The 11,859-nt window shown below is 53.3% G+C and overlaps 2 protein-coding genes across 6 annotated transcripts in view, besides 6 other annotated features; one reads left to right on the top strand and one right to left on the bottom strand.

Moving 5' to 3' along the window:
- Positions 1,218-6,793, bottom strand: GALR2 (galanin receptor 2). Of its 3 annotated transcripts, none has more exons than XM_047436984.1 (4): positions 6,579-6,793; positions 4,912-5,045; positions 3,504-3,625; positions 1,218-2,119 (listed from the first exon to the last, which is right to left on the bottom strand). In XM_047436984.1, exons 2-4 carry the CDS (start codon positions 4,984-4,986, stop codon positions 1,324-1,326), a joined length of 993 nt encoding a protein of 330 aa, XP_047292940.1. In that variant the 5' UTR covers positions 4,987-5,045; positions 6,579-6,793; the 3' UTR covers positions 1,218-1,323. The 3 variants fall into 3 exon arrangements, with proteins under 3 accessions (XP_047292940.1, XP_011523729.1, NP_003848.1); XM_011525427.4 differs by having other exon boundaries at positions 4,912-5,042; NM_003857.4 differs by lacking the exons at positions 4,912-5,045; positions 6,579-6,793 and having other exon boundaries at positions 3,504-3,974.
- Positions 1,265-2,145: an enhancer, noted in NCBI's record as "H3K27ac-H3K4me1 hESC enhancer chr17:74072691-74073571 (GRCh37/hg19 assembly coordinates)". NCBI's record gives its function as "activates a minimal SCP1, AML or CMV promoter by ChIP-STARR-seq in naive H9 embryonic stem cells {active_cell/tissue: H9 hESC(naive)}" and the evidence as "EXISTENCE:reporter gene assay evidence [ECO:0000049][PMID:30033119]".
- Positions 3,028-3,909: an enhancer, noted in NCBI's record as "H3K4me1 hESC enhancer chr17:74070927-74071808 (GRCh37/hg19 assembly coordinates)". NCBI's record gives its function as "activates a minimal SCP1, AML or CMV promoter by ChIP-STARR-seq in naive and primed H9 embryonic stem cells {active_cell/tissue: H9 hESC(naive and primed)}" and the evidence as "EXISTENCE:reporter gene assay evidence [ECO:0000049][PMID:30033119]".
- Positions 5,296-6,123: an enhancer, noted in NCBI's record as "H3K27ac-H3K4me1 hESC enhancer chr17:74068713-74069540 (GRCh37/hg19 assembly coordinates)". NCBI's record gives its function as "activates a minimal SCP1, AML or CMV promoter by ChIP-STARR-seq in primed H9 embryonic stem cells {active_cell/tissue: H9 hESC(primed)}" and the evidence as "EXISTENCE:reporter gene assay evidence [ECO:0000049][PMID:30033119]".
- Positions 5,296-6,125: a biological region, named in NCBI's record as "H3K27ac-H3K4me1 hESC enhancer GRCh37_chr17:74068713-74069540".
- Positions 6,076-6,125: an enhancer, noted in NCBI's record as "active region_12790". NCBI's record gives its function as "activates an Ori minimal core promoter by ATAC-STARR-seq in GM12878 lymphoblastoid cells {active_cell/tissue: GM12878}" and the evidence as "EXISTENCE:reporter gene assay evidence [ECO:0000049][PMID:35858748]".
- Positions 6,124-6,951: an enhancer, noted in NCBI's record as "H3K27ac-H3K4me1 hESC enhancer chr17:74067885-74068712 (GRCh37/hg19 assembly coordinates)". NCBI's record gives its function as "activates a minimal SCP1, AML or CMV promoter by ChIP-STARR-seq in primed H9 embryonic stem cells {active_cell/tissue: H9 hESC(primed)}" and the evidence as "EXISTENCE:reporter gene assay evidence [ECO:0000049][PMID:30033119]".
- SRP68 (signal recognition particle 68) overlaps positions 6,238-11,859 on the top strand; it is a 33,733-nt gene continuing 28,111 nt past the window's right edge. The window contains exons 1-3 of one of the 3 annotated variants that reach the window (NM_014230.4): positions 6,238-6,447; positions 8,311-8,377; positions 11,425-11,538. In NM_014230.4, coding sequence (NP_055045.2) covers positions 6,264-6,447; positions 8,311-8,377; positions 11,425-11,538 — 365 coding nt within the window. In that variant the 5' untranslated portion in view covers positions 6,238-6,263. The remainder of the gene's footprint in view (positions 6,448-8,310; positions 8,378-11,424; positions 11,539-11,859) is intronic. The other 2 variants (NR_048541.2, NM_001260502.2) reach the window with 2 other exon arrangements.

The raw sequence follows: 11,859 nt of genomic DNA, 5'->3' as shown, positions 1-11,859 counted from the left end.
GCTCATGCCTGTAATCTCAGCACTTTGGGAGACCAAGGAGGGCAGACTGCTTGAGCCCAGGGGTTTGAGACCAGAGTAACATAGGGAGACTCTGTCTCTATCAAAAACACAAGAGTTAGCTGGGCGTGGTGGCATGCACCTGTAGTCCCAGCTACTCAGGAGGCTGAAGCTGGATCACTTGAGCCCAGGAAGTGGAGGTTGCAGTGAGCCGAGATTGCAACACTGCACTCCAGTCTGAGCGACAGAGCGAGATTCTGCCTTCCACCCCACTTCCCCCCAACAACAACAACAAAAAGAACAAAAGAACTCTGGTAATCCCAGCACTTTGGGAAGCTGAGGTCAGGAGTTTGAGACCAGCCTGGCCAATATGGTGAAACCCCGTATCTACTAAAAATACAGAAATTAGCCGTATTAGCGTCCATGGTGGTCGACGCCTGTAAGCTCAGCTACTCAGGAGGCTGAGGCAGGAGAATCACTTGAACCTGGGAGGCAGAGGTTGCGGTGAGCCAAGATTGTGCCATTGCATTCCAGCCTGGGCAACAAGAACAAAACTCCGTCTCAAAAGAAAAACAAACAACAACAACCAAAAAAAAAAAAAAAAAAAAAACAGAAGCAAAAAAAACCTCTGGGAAGGGAGTTTTACCTGACAACAGGTAAAGGCCAACTCATGAGCAAAGCCCTGGGACATTCTTGTCCTGAAGTGGATTCTCAGCTTGCGCCAGCCCAGCAGTGCTGTGCACCTGGAGCCCAACCTGCCAGGGAAAGACTTTCCTGCCCCCCCCCCCCCCGCCGGGGAGTGAAACAGCTGCTGGAGACTTGATCCTGGCCCAGATGTAGCCAGGGAAGGAAAAGCTAAGGCCAAAAATGGACGGGGACTGACTGGGCTGCCCAGACTCAAAGGGGCCCTGGGAGCTGAAAGCAGGCAAGGACAGACCTGTCACACACCAGAGCACAAATGCGGCTGGGAACACACATCTGTGTCTGTCATCAACCGACTTTATCGAACGCCTTAAACAATCTGCCTGCCTCTGTCGCACGCTCCCCAGACTCAGATTTTTATGCGGATTGTAACCCGGCTGCCTGAGGTGTGATCAGCCCTCTTTCCTGGTAGCTCTGCAAAGGGTCCTGCACTTACCCCTAGGGAGCCCCTCTGTGAAGCCCCAGAGGCTTCCTCCCAGAATCTCAAGACAATGAGAAACGCGAAACAGCGCTGTCACTGTGTGTGAAATGGTTTGTGCGTTTTATTAACAGGCAAAGCTCTCCCCACGGTCCCCCAACAATGACTCCAACTCTGTGACATCCCAGCGCGCCCGCTAAGTGCTTTCAGGCCACATCAACCGTCAGGATGCTGTCGCCTGCCTTTGGGCCCTGCCAGGACGGGCCAGGACAGGGCTCGAGGATGCATGGCTGGGAAGCGCCGGGGCAGGGACGAAGGGCCCCCGCCGCCTCGCTCATGTGCAACAGGTCGCTGGACTCGCGCTCCAACACGCTGCCACTGTGGGTGCCCCGCGCGGCAGCGCACACACGGCCCGAGGCTCGGCCTGGGGCACGGCCCAGCAGGCCCGCGCAGATCGTGCGGAAGCCTTTGCGGAAGTGCTTGGAGACCAGCGCGTAAACGATGGGGTTGACGCAGGAGTTGGCGTAGGAGACCAGGTGCGAGAGGATGCGAAGCGCATAAGTGGCGCGCGTGAGCGGGAACTGGCCGAACCACACGCAGAGGATGAGCGCGTGGTGGGGCATCCAGCAGAGGCAGAAGAGCGCGGCCACGATGAGGATCATGCGTGTCACCTTGCGCTTGGCGCGCCGGGCACCCGAGCCCGCGGCCACCGGGTCGACGGCGCGCCAGAGGTAGCGCAAGGTGCGCGCGTAGGTCAGGCCGAGAACCAGCACAGGAAGCAGGTAGCTGAAGACGAAGGTGCAGATGTCCATGGCGCGGCGGCGAGGGGCGCTCCACGCGGGATGGCACACGGTCAGGTTGGCCAGCTGCGACTGGCGGTAGTAGCTCAGGTAGGGCCCGGAGAAGAGCAGCGACAGCCCCCAGATGAGCCCGATGGCTGCCAGCGCGTTTCGAGGCGTGCGCAGCTCGCGGGAGTGCAGCGGGTAGCGGATGGCCAGATACCTGCGGTCAGACCGGGAAGGGAGACGTCGGCTGAGCGGGCACATTCATGCTGGAGGGCCGCGACCCCTGCACCTCGGTCCCAAGGCTGCTCTCGAGGAAGGTCCTTAGCGCATGGTTACACCGCACACAGAGGAGGTGGGGGTGAGGCTCGGCGTGAGGGCGGAGGTGGGGGCCTCCCAGCGTGTCCCAGACACTCAGCGGAGCCTGGAAATGGGGCGGGCCCGGCAGCAGGAAAGGTGTGCCTTCAAGCCATTCTCCCGCTGCCCCCGGGGACTGCAACCACAGTCTCCACTGAGAGGGCACCCCAAAGCCACTGAAGACTAAAGGTTGGAGAACCGGCTATGGGCTCCGGGAGGCTGTGACTACCCACTGGTGACGGTGCCGCGGGAGGGAGGGCGGAGGCGCCTGAGGCTCTAGCAGACAGCCTGGAGAAGACATGTTGGGCAAGGGACAGTTAATTTCTCAGGGGATTCCTGAGAGAATGCGAGCTTTGTGGATCCCACCAGCGCGCTCGGAACCAACGCACTTCGCGCTCAGTGGCTACAGGAGGTGTGGGGGCAGTCTGGCCTCGCCTCTCTGTTTTTCCAGAGGATGGAGAGGGGAAATACCCGGATTTCCTCCCCAGGAACCATCCCAGTGTCCTTTCAAGCTCCACCTGAGTCCCGCGCTCTCCCGAATGTGCGTCTCTCGCTCTCCTCTGGCTGGGGAGGAAGAACCCCAGGGCACGCTCCTCTCCCGGCCCCGACTTGTTTTGGATTTTATTTTGTTTTGTTTTGTTTGGAGGCGAGAGGCAGAGTGGGCTGGGACTGAGCTAGGGACCTTTAGGCACGCTCGCTGGGACTCCGGAGTGGATCCTTGCAAAGGACCCAAGATCCACAGCCTGGACCTGAGCCAGCTGCACCAACCAACCAAACCGTGGCTTGGAGGCGAGCGCAGTGGAGGCGCCTGAAGTTGGCTGCAGGAGACAGACGGTCACTTCACGCACCCGATCCCTGGCTGGCGACTCTGAGCGAGTTACTTAGGAACTCAACTCTTCTGTATATTGGGCACTTTGTCCTATCCCACCCTCACGGAGGGCATTAAGCTCAAGCGAGATGAACGCGCACAAACGCGTCGTACTGGGAAACGCTGCGCGTTGTCAGGCACGGGCGGCGCTGGAGAGCCACATTCTCCAGGCTTCCAGGCCCCAGGACGCATCTAACCGAGGGACACCACGGTCCCCCATTCTTATTCCTCTTTTTCCTCCTCCGCGCCCGCTTGTCTTCCACTGCCTTCTTAGTGTCCTGTCCCACTCTGCGCGTCCCTTCTTGGTCCCCAGTCCCGCCTCCCGCTCCATCCCCCGCGTGGATGCCCATCTCCCAGGGAGGCCAAGGCGCTGGCTCACCTGTCCAGGGAGACGGCGGCCAGCGTGAAGCTGCTGGCGTGCATGGTGAGGAAGATGAGGAAGTGCACCGCCTTGCACAGCAGCGAGCCGAACACCCAGCCGTCCAGGGTGTAGATGGTGGCCTGGAAGGGCACGCAGCACAGGATGAAACACAGGTCGGCCACGCCCAGGTTAAGGATGAACAGGTTGGTAGTGCTGACCGCCTGGCCGCCGCGCAGCAGCACCGCCAGCACCAGCGTGTTGCCCACGGTGCCCACGAGGAAGATGAGCGCGAAGAGCAGGGGCACGATGACCGCCTCGGGGTGCCAGCCTCCCCCGCCGCCCGCCTGGCTCGCGTTCCCGGCCCCTGGGCAGCCCGAGACGTTCATGGTGCCGCTGACCCCGAGGCTGCCCGGGCTCCTGCAGCCGTCTGGGTCTCCGCGAGCGGGAAGCTCCCGGGGCTGCGGCCGCTGCAACTCCTAGTGCGACTCTGCCGGGCTGAAGGCGGAGGGAGCCTTGCCTCATCTGGGGCGGGGATGGGGGTGCGCTGGGGTCAGGAGGAGGAGCAAGAGACAGGAGGGCGAGGTTGTCCCCAGCAGCGGCCGGCGGCGCTGGGGGAAGGGCTGCGGAGTGGTCCCGGCGCGCATTCCACGGCGCAGGCGGAGAGTGGCGCTTGTACCTGCTTCCGAGCTCCAGCCCCCGCAGTCGGGGGTTCTGGGCTGACCAGGCGGACTGACTTCCCCGGCAGACGCCGGAGCGGTGGAGGGGTCGACCCCGGACCCTGCGTGTGCGCCGCGCCGCAGGGAGCACGGACCTCGCACTCCGCGCGCCTCGGCGCTTCCCTGCAGCCTGGCAGGGGTGCAGGATATCCCGGGACCGTCGAGGGGCTGGGGTGCCCTCAAAAGAGGACCCCTGGGAGATCGGGGGGAGGAAACGCGGGGCGGAGGCGGATGAGGGGCCCCGGAGTCTGGCTCTTTCGCCCAGGCTAGAGTGCAGTGGCGCGATCTCGGCTCACTGCAACCTCCGTCTCCCGGGTTCAAACGGTTCTCCTGCCTCGGCCTTCTGAGGGGCTGGGACTACAGGCGTCCGCCACAACGTCTGGCTAGTTTTTTGTATTTGTATTTGTTGAGACAGAGTCTCACTCTGTCGCCCAGGCTGGAGTGTAGTGGCATGATATCGGCTCACTGCAACCTCCGCCTCCCGGGTTCAAGCGATCCTCCTGCCTCAGCCTCCCGAGTAGCTGGGATGACGGGCGCCTGCCACCACGCCTGGCTTATTTTCGTATTTTTAGTAGAAATGGGGTTTCACCATGTTGGCCAAGCTGGTCTCAAACTCCTGACCTCAAGTGATCCGCCCACCTCGGCCTCCCAAAGTGCTGGGATTACAGGCGTAAGCCACCGAGCCCGGCCACCTTTTTCCCTTCTCTTACCCATTGAACGTTTTCCCTCCAATTCAATCCAATATACTGAGCATCTATTGTGTCAGGCTCTGTCTTTGGCTCCATGCCTCAGTTTCCTCAGCTGTAACAAGGAAATGGTAACACTTCCTTCTAAGAGGGATCTGCTGAGAAAGGAATGAGATGTATGGGAGAGTTAGTTAAATCTGAATGCATCAGATCCTTATTCTTTTTCTCCTGACCTTATTCCGTATACCTTGAGGAAATTCAAAATAGAGTTCAGGGCCGGGCGCGGTGGTTCACGCCTGTAATCCCAGCACTTTGGGAGGCCGAGGCGGGCGGATCACGAGGTCAGGAGATCGAGACCATCCTGACCAACATGGTGAAACCCCGTCTCCACTAAAAATACAAAAATTAGCGGGACGTGGTGGCAGGCGCCTGTAATCCCAGCTACTCGGGAGGCTGAGGCAGGAGAATGGCTTGAACCCAGGAGGCAGAGGTTGCAGTGAGCCGAGATCACACCATTGCACTCCAGCCTGGGCAACAAGAGCGAAACTCTATCTAAAAAAAAAAAAAAAATCCGTCATTTAATCTTCCTAACAACCACTTAAATTGGTTATCCCCATTTCATAGATGAAGGAACAGATTTACAGGGAGATTAAGTTACGTGCCCAACATGTCCCTGCCGCTAATGACGGAGCGGGGATTGGAATCCCAGGTCTCAGACTCTAGAAGGTGCAAAGCAAAAATTCATATTTTCCCATGTCTCAACACTTCTCCCTCTTTGGACTGACGGCCCCAAAGTGCAGTGGTCCACGGCCCCAAGCGGTCTGAGAAAGTCACCCCGTTAGGACACCGTCTGCTGACTGCGCAGCGCTTCCTCCGGCTTGGCGTTCTTACGGCCAGCCTCAGAGGAAAGGGCAGGCAGAGGCGGGTCCCTTACGGACGGGGTGTCCCGTTCCGGTAGGGAGGACCCCATCTCTTGAGTCCCTGGGGATGCAGACACCCCGAAATCCAGTATCTTTGGTCTCCTGCTTTCTGCTGGGCAGGACGTGAACCAGATCCCCAGTCCAGGATGCAGGACCTGGGGTCCACCTCCGGTTCTCCGCCCTTAGTGGGTGGGAGGTGGGACTGCCCCCTGAGATCTCAGCAGCCACGGTCTCACTGCGGCCTCAAGTCCCCACCTAGCCAGCCACAATTCCGGACCCGGGATGACAGGATCCCTCGCGCAGGCGCGCTCCAGCACATGGCGCCCTGCTGCAGCAAGGGCCGACGGCGGCGGAGTCCGCCGCTATCCCATCAGCCCGGCCAGGCAGGTCCAGCTCTCACCCGCCCAGGTCGTCCCGCCTCCCCTATCCCGTCTTGCTCTGCGGCGCAGGGGCAAGATGGCTGCTGAGAAGCAGGTCCCAGGCGGCGGCGGCGGCGGCGGCAGTGGCGGCGGCGGTGGCAGTGGCGGCGGCGGTAGCGGCGGTGGACGTGGTGCCGGAGGGGAAGAAAATAAAGAAAACGAACGCCCTTCGGCCGGATCGAAGGCAAACAAAGAATTTGGGGATAGCCTGAGTTTGGAGAGTATCCTAGAGTAATCGGGCCTAACTCGCAATGATTACGTGTCGAACTGGAGGGCTGGGGGCGGGAGAGGCGGCGGGTCCCGACAAGTCCTGGCAGGAGAGGCCGAGGGTTGCAGTTTCTCTCGCCCTTACCTTTTGGTGCTCAGAATTCCGGGGGGGGTCTGTCTCTCGACTAGTCTTTCCTCGTGTCCCCCTCGCCGTCCTGGCTAGGTCCGTTTCTTCCAGTGGCACTGGGATATCAGGCAGGTTTCCCCTGGTGCCCCGCAGTTGTCCAGTTGGAGGGCTTGTGACCAAGTGACACCTTGAGCACCTTGCTTTGGCACCTTGAGCCACTGAACTGGGGAGAGGAAACTGCAGTCTTGACATTTGGCTTAATACTCTTGTCTGACAGTCGTCATAGACTGAGTAGTAAAACCTACAGCTCGATACTTTGAAAGTGGAGGTAAAGATTGACTCAGGAAAAGCTTGTTGCCCATTTTGATTGTAAGTTACCGTAGTTAATATCGATTGTGTCATTTTTTTCTGATCGGTCTGTAGGCATTTTATCTTGCTGACAGTCATTCATATAAGCTGGAGGAATCGGTTTCTAGTTTCCATCAGTGTGTATCTCAACCAAGTGCTTGTGGTACTAGTTTGTGACCTTTTGAAATGAATAACAAATGGAGAAAACGTAGGCGAGTTTCTGAAATAACACATTCAACTTGACATCTTAATGTGCTTAAAGTTCTCAGGCGCTTGGAGTTAAATATTTTGAATTACTGGTAATAGTTCCAAGTAGACGCTAGCGAGCCCTGATTTTACTGAGACCTTTATATCTCTTTGTCCCGTTTTAGTAATTTAAAGAGTCCTTTTAGCGTTCACTATTTTAAAATATGTCTCTAGAGAAGTGTTGAGGAAACATTAAAACTATACCTATATAGATGAAGGTCATTGGACTTTCTAAAGATTAGTACATAATCTTAAATATTTTAAGATTATTAAAAGGAGAATCTGGCCATTCTTCTTTTGAAAGAAAAACCTTAATACTTTTATGCAAACTGTAGCCTAGCTTGGTTGACATGTGCTAATCATAGACTCTCTAAGCATCACAGCTGTTAAGGAAAGTTAGATTTGGCAGGTGTTGGAGATTATGCAAATGGAGGCTTAGTACATGTCATTTATAACCTGAATCTGAATGAATAAAATGTGGGGTCTAGGTGTTAATTGGTGTGAAGCACCCCAATTATAGTCAGCATTTAGAATCCATCAGCTTAATTTAAACTGGGTTTTGGCAGTTTCCAGTGGCCAGTAGTGCCCTCCTTTTTCAGTTTGCAAGTAGTAACAGTTCAGGCAATCAGTTTTCCTGTAGGTTAGCCCTGTCCTGTGACAAGATAGATATTGAAAATGGTTACAAAAGATCTCACCAGTGTACTAAATATTTCACAAATTTGTGTGTGTGTGTGTGTGTGTGTGTGTGTGCATGTGCATGTGTGACTGAATCTCACTCTCACCTAGGCTGGAGTGCAGTGGCGCTGTCTTGGCTCATTGCAACCTCTGCCTTCCAAGTTCAAGCGATTCTCCTGCCTCAGCCTCCCGAGTAGCTGGGATTACAGGTGCTAGCCATTGCGCCCGGCTAATTTTTTGTGTTTTTAGTAGAGACGGGGTTTCACCATGCTGGCCAGGCTGGTCTTGAACTCCTGACCTCAGGTGATACACCCGCCTCGGCCTCCCACAGTGCTGGGATTACAGGCATGAGCCACCGTACCTGGCTATATTTCACAAATGTTTAATGTGTTGTGGTTTGACACAGATATAGACTGATGGTACAGGTTTTGATTTGTTTGGATTCTTGCTATGGTAAGATTTTCCTTAATCTCGACTCTAGTTCTTCAGATTATTAAGGAATCCCAGCAGCAGCATGGTTTACGGCATGGAGATTTTCAGAGGTACAGGTTAGTATCACATACAAGATGTTTGGAAATCATTGTGGGACTTGCTTTGCTTTTGTTAATATCCTGTTTACTCTGCTATATCAGCAAATATGCTAGAAAGTCTAGAGCATTGTTTTTTTTGTTTGTTTGTTTGCTTTGTTTTTTTTTTTTTTTTTGAGATGGAGTCTCGCTCTGTCGCCAGGCTGGAGTGCAGTGGCGCAATGTTGGCTCACTGCAACCTCCACCTCCTGGGTTCCAGCGATTCTCCTGCCTCAGCCTCCTGAGTAGCTGTTTTTTTTGTTTGTTTGTTTGTTTGTTTTTTGAGATGGAGTCTCACTCTGTCACCCAGGCTGGAGTGTAGTGGCGCAATCCTGGCTCACTGCAGCCCATGCCTCCCGGGTTCAGGTGATTCTCCTGCTTCTGCCTCCAGAGTACCTGGGATTATAGGCATGTGCCACCATGCCTGGCTAATTTTTGTATTTTTAGTAGAGATGGGGTTTCGCCATGTTGGCCAGGCTGGTCTCAAACTCCTGACCTCAGGTGATCCACCCACCTCAGCTTCCCAAAGTGTTGGAATTACAGGCGTGAGCCACCGTGTCTGGCCTATTTCTTTTTTTTTTTTTCTTTTAAATAATCTATACCCTGGTAGCTTTGATTGAGATGCTGAAGTAGTATTTATTTTATTTATTTTTGATACGGAGTCTCACTCTGTTGCCCAGGCTGGAGTATAGTGGCGCGATCTCGGCTCACTGCAACCTCCGCCTCCCGGGTTCAAGTGATTCTTCTGCCTCAGCCTCCTGAGTGGCTGGGACTGAAGGCACATGCCACCATGCCCGGCTAATTTTTAGTAGAGACAAGATTTCACCATGTTGGCCAGGCTGGTCTTGAACTCCTGACCTCAGGTGATCCACCTGCCTCAGCCTCCCAAAGTACTGGGATTACGGGTGTGAGCCAATGTGCCTGGCCTATTTATTTATTTTTATTTCATTTTATTTATTTACTTATTTTTTTGAGACAGAGTCTTTGTCTGTCACCCAGTCTGGAATGCAGTGGCACGATCTCGGTGTACTGCAACCTCCGCCTTCCGGGTTCAAGCAGTTCTCCTGCCTCAGCCTCCCGAGTACCTGGGACTACAGGCATGCACCACCATGCCTGGCTAATTTTTGTATTTTTAGTAGAGATGGGGTTTCACCATGTTGCCCAGGCTGGTCTCGAACTCCTGACCTCAAGTGATCTGCCTGCCTCAGCCTCCCAAAGTGCTAGGATTACAGGCGTGAACCACCACGCCCGGCCCCTGAAGTAGTATTGAAATATCATTTTGTATTGTAAATTATGTGCTGTATTACTTTGACTTAAAGGTTGGTGCAATTTTATATATATATATATTTATTTATTTATATATATATTTTAAACTAATTTAGTCAAAATGTATGTATTGAACATCTGCATATTAGACACTGTGGTAAGGCATTGTGGAAAATTTAAAAATGAAATCCTAGCTGGAATGGTGGCACATGCCATAGTGCCAGTTACTTGGGAGGATGAGGCCCGAGAATTGCTTAAGCCCCGGAGTTCGAGCCCAGCCTGGGCAACAGCAACATAGTGAGACTCTGTCTCAAAAAAATAATTCTCCCTGCACTAAAGGGATTTATATTAGTGGACAACTATGTGAGAACATAATTATAATGTCACACACTGTAATAGAAGGAAGAATAAAGAGCTACATGAGCATAGAGGAGGAGGCTTGGCATAGAGGTGACATTTGTAGTGCTTCTTGGCGATAACCTAATTGGCTTCCTCACTTTTCTTCAGACCTGCCTGCAGTTCTTTCTCCATATGTTTGGTGTCATCTTAGTCTTCCTCAGGATGCCCCTTTCCCTGCTTTCTTTACATTTATTAGAATCCTCCTCATTCTTCTTCTTCTTCTTTTTTTTTTTTTTTTTCAGACACAGTCTTGCTCTGTTGCCTAGGCTGGAGTGCAATGGCGTGTTCTCGGCTCACTGCAACCTCCACCTCCCGGGTTTAAGCAGTTCTCTGCCTCAGCCTCCCGAGTAGCTAGAATTATAGGCGCCCGCCCGCCATGCCTGGCTAATTTTTTTTTTTTTCGAGACGGAGTTTTACTGTTGTTGCCCAGGCTGAAGTGCAATGGCGCAATCTTGGCTCAACGCAACCCCCACCTCCTGAGTTTAAGCGAATGTCCTGCCTCATCCTCCCGAGTAGGCTGGGATTACAGGCATGTGCCACCACAACTGGCTAATTTTGTATTTTTAGTAGAGACGGGGTTTCTGCATGTTGGGCAGGCTGGTCTCGAACTCTTGACATCAAGTGATCCGCCCACCTCGGCCTCCCAAAGTGCTGGGATTACAGGTGTGAGCCACTGCACCCAGCCCCTCATTCTTTCTAGGCCCCGCCATCAGTCCACTGCAGCTGAAGGTGCTAACAAGAGAATGATTACCCATGTCCTTTCAACTTGACATTTGCCTTGTTTTCTTGGTTGCCATTTTCTCTGCATGATTCTACTCAATTTTAATGTGGGTTCCTTGAACATGGGCACTGTGTCCTCCATCTCTTTGTGTTTCCTATAATACCAATCATATTGCCCTCCATGTTTTAGTTGTTCAATAAATGTTTAGGGCCGGGTATGGTGGCTCATGCCTGTAATCCCAGCACTTTGGAAGGCTGGGGTGGGCGGATTGCTGGAGTCCAAGGATTTCGAGACCAGCCTGGGTGACATAGTGAAACCCTGTCTCTACAAAAAGTACAAAAATTAGCCATGTGTGGTGGTACACCTCTGTTGGTCACATCTACCCAGGAGGCTGAGGTGGGAGGATTGACTGAGCCTGGCTGCAGTGAGCCAAGATCACACCACTGCACTCCAGCCTGGGTGACAGAGCCAGACTCTGTCTCAAAGAAAAGAAAAAAATGTTTGGAAGCTGATATGTGATAATTCTAGTAACCATAAGTATAATATCCCAAACCATTGACCCTTGACCTTGCCTTATTGCAGAATTTATTATTCAAAATACTCTCAGCTTGGCTGAGTGAGTTTTGTTTGTGGTTTCTTACAGGGGCTACTGTTCCCGTAGACAAAGACGTCTTCGAAAAACACTCAACTTCAAGATGGGTAACAGACACAAATTCACAGGGAAGAAAGTGACTGAAGAGCTTCTGACCGATAATAGGTATTGACTGCTCCATGCTAGTTGCAAATTACTTCTTGCTAATACATTTATTGAACAATGACGTGGTAGACTTCATGCCAAACCTTTTAATTATCTCTGTGGGCTGGGCATTGTTTACTATTCCTGTGTTCTAAGGCAAGGAAACTGAGGCTCAAAGAGATACATTAGGTTGTTCAAGAACTGTGTTGGGGCCAGGTGCAGTGGTTCACGCCTATAATCCCAGCACGTTGGGAGGCCAAGGTGGGTGGATCACCTGAGGTCAGGAGTTCAAGACCAGCCTGGCCAACATGGCAAAACCCCTACTTTACTAAAAATATAAAA

The sequence above is a fragment of the Homo sapiens genome, chromosome 17 (genome assembly GCF_000001405.40).
Source record: "Homo sapiens chromosome 17, GRCh38.p14 Primary Assembly".
NCBI lineage: Eukaryota > Metazoa > Chordata > Mammalia > Primates > Hominidae > Homo > Homo sapiens.
The sequence above is the reverse complement of the archived record's forward strand: the minus strand, read 5'-3'. Positions and strand labels throughout refer to the sequence as shown.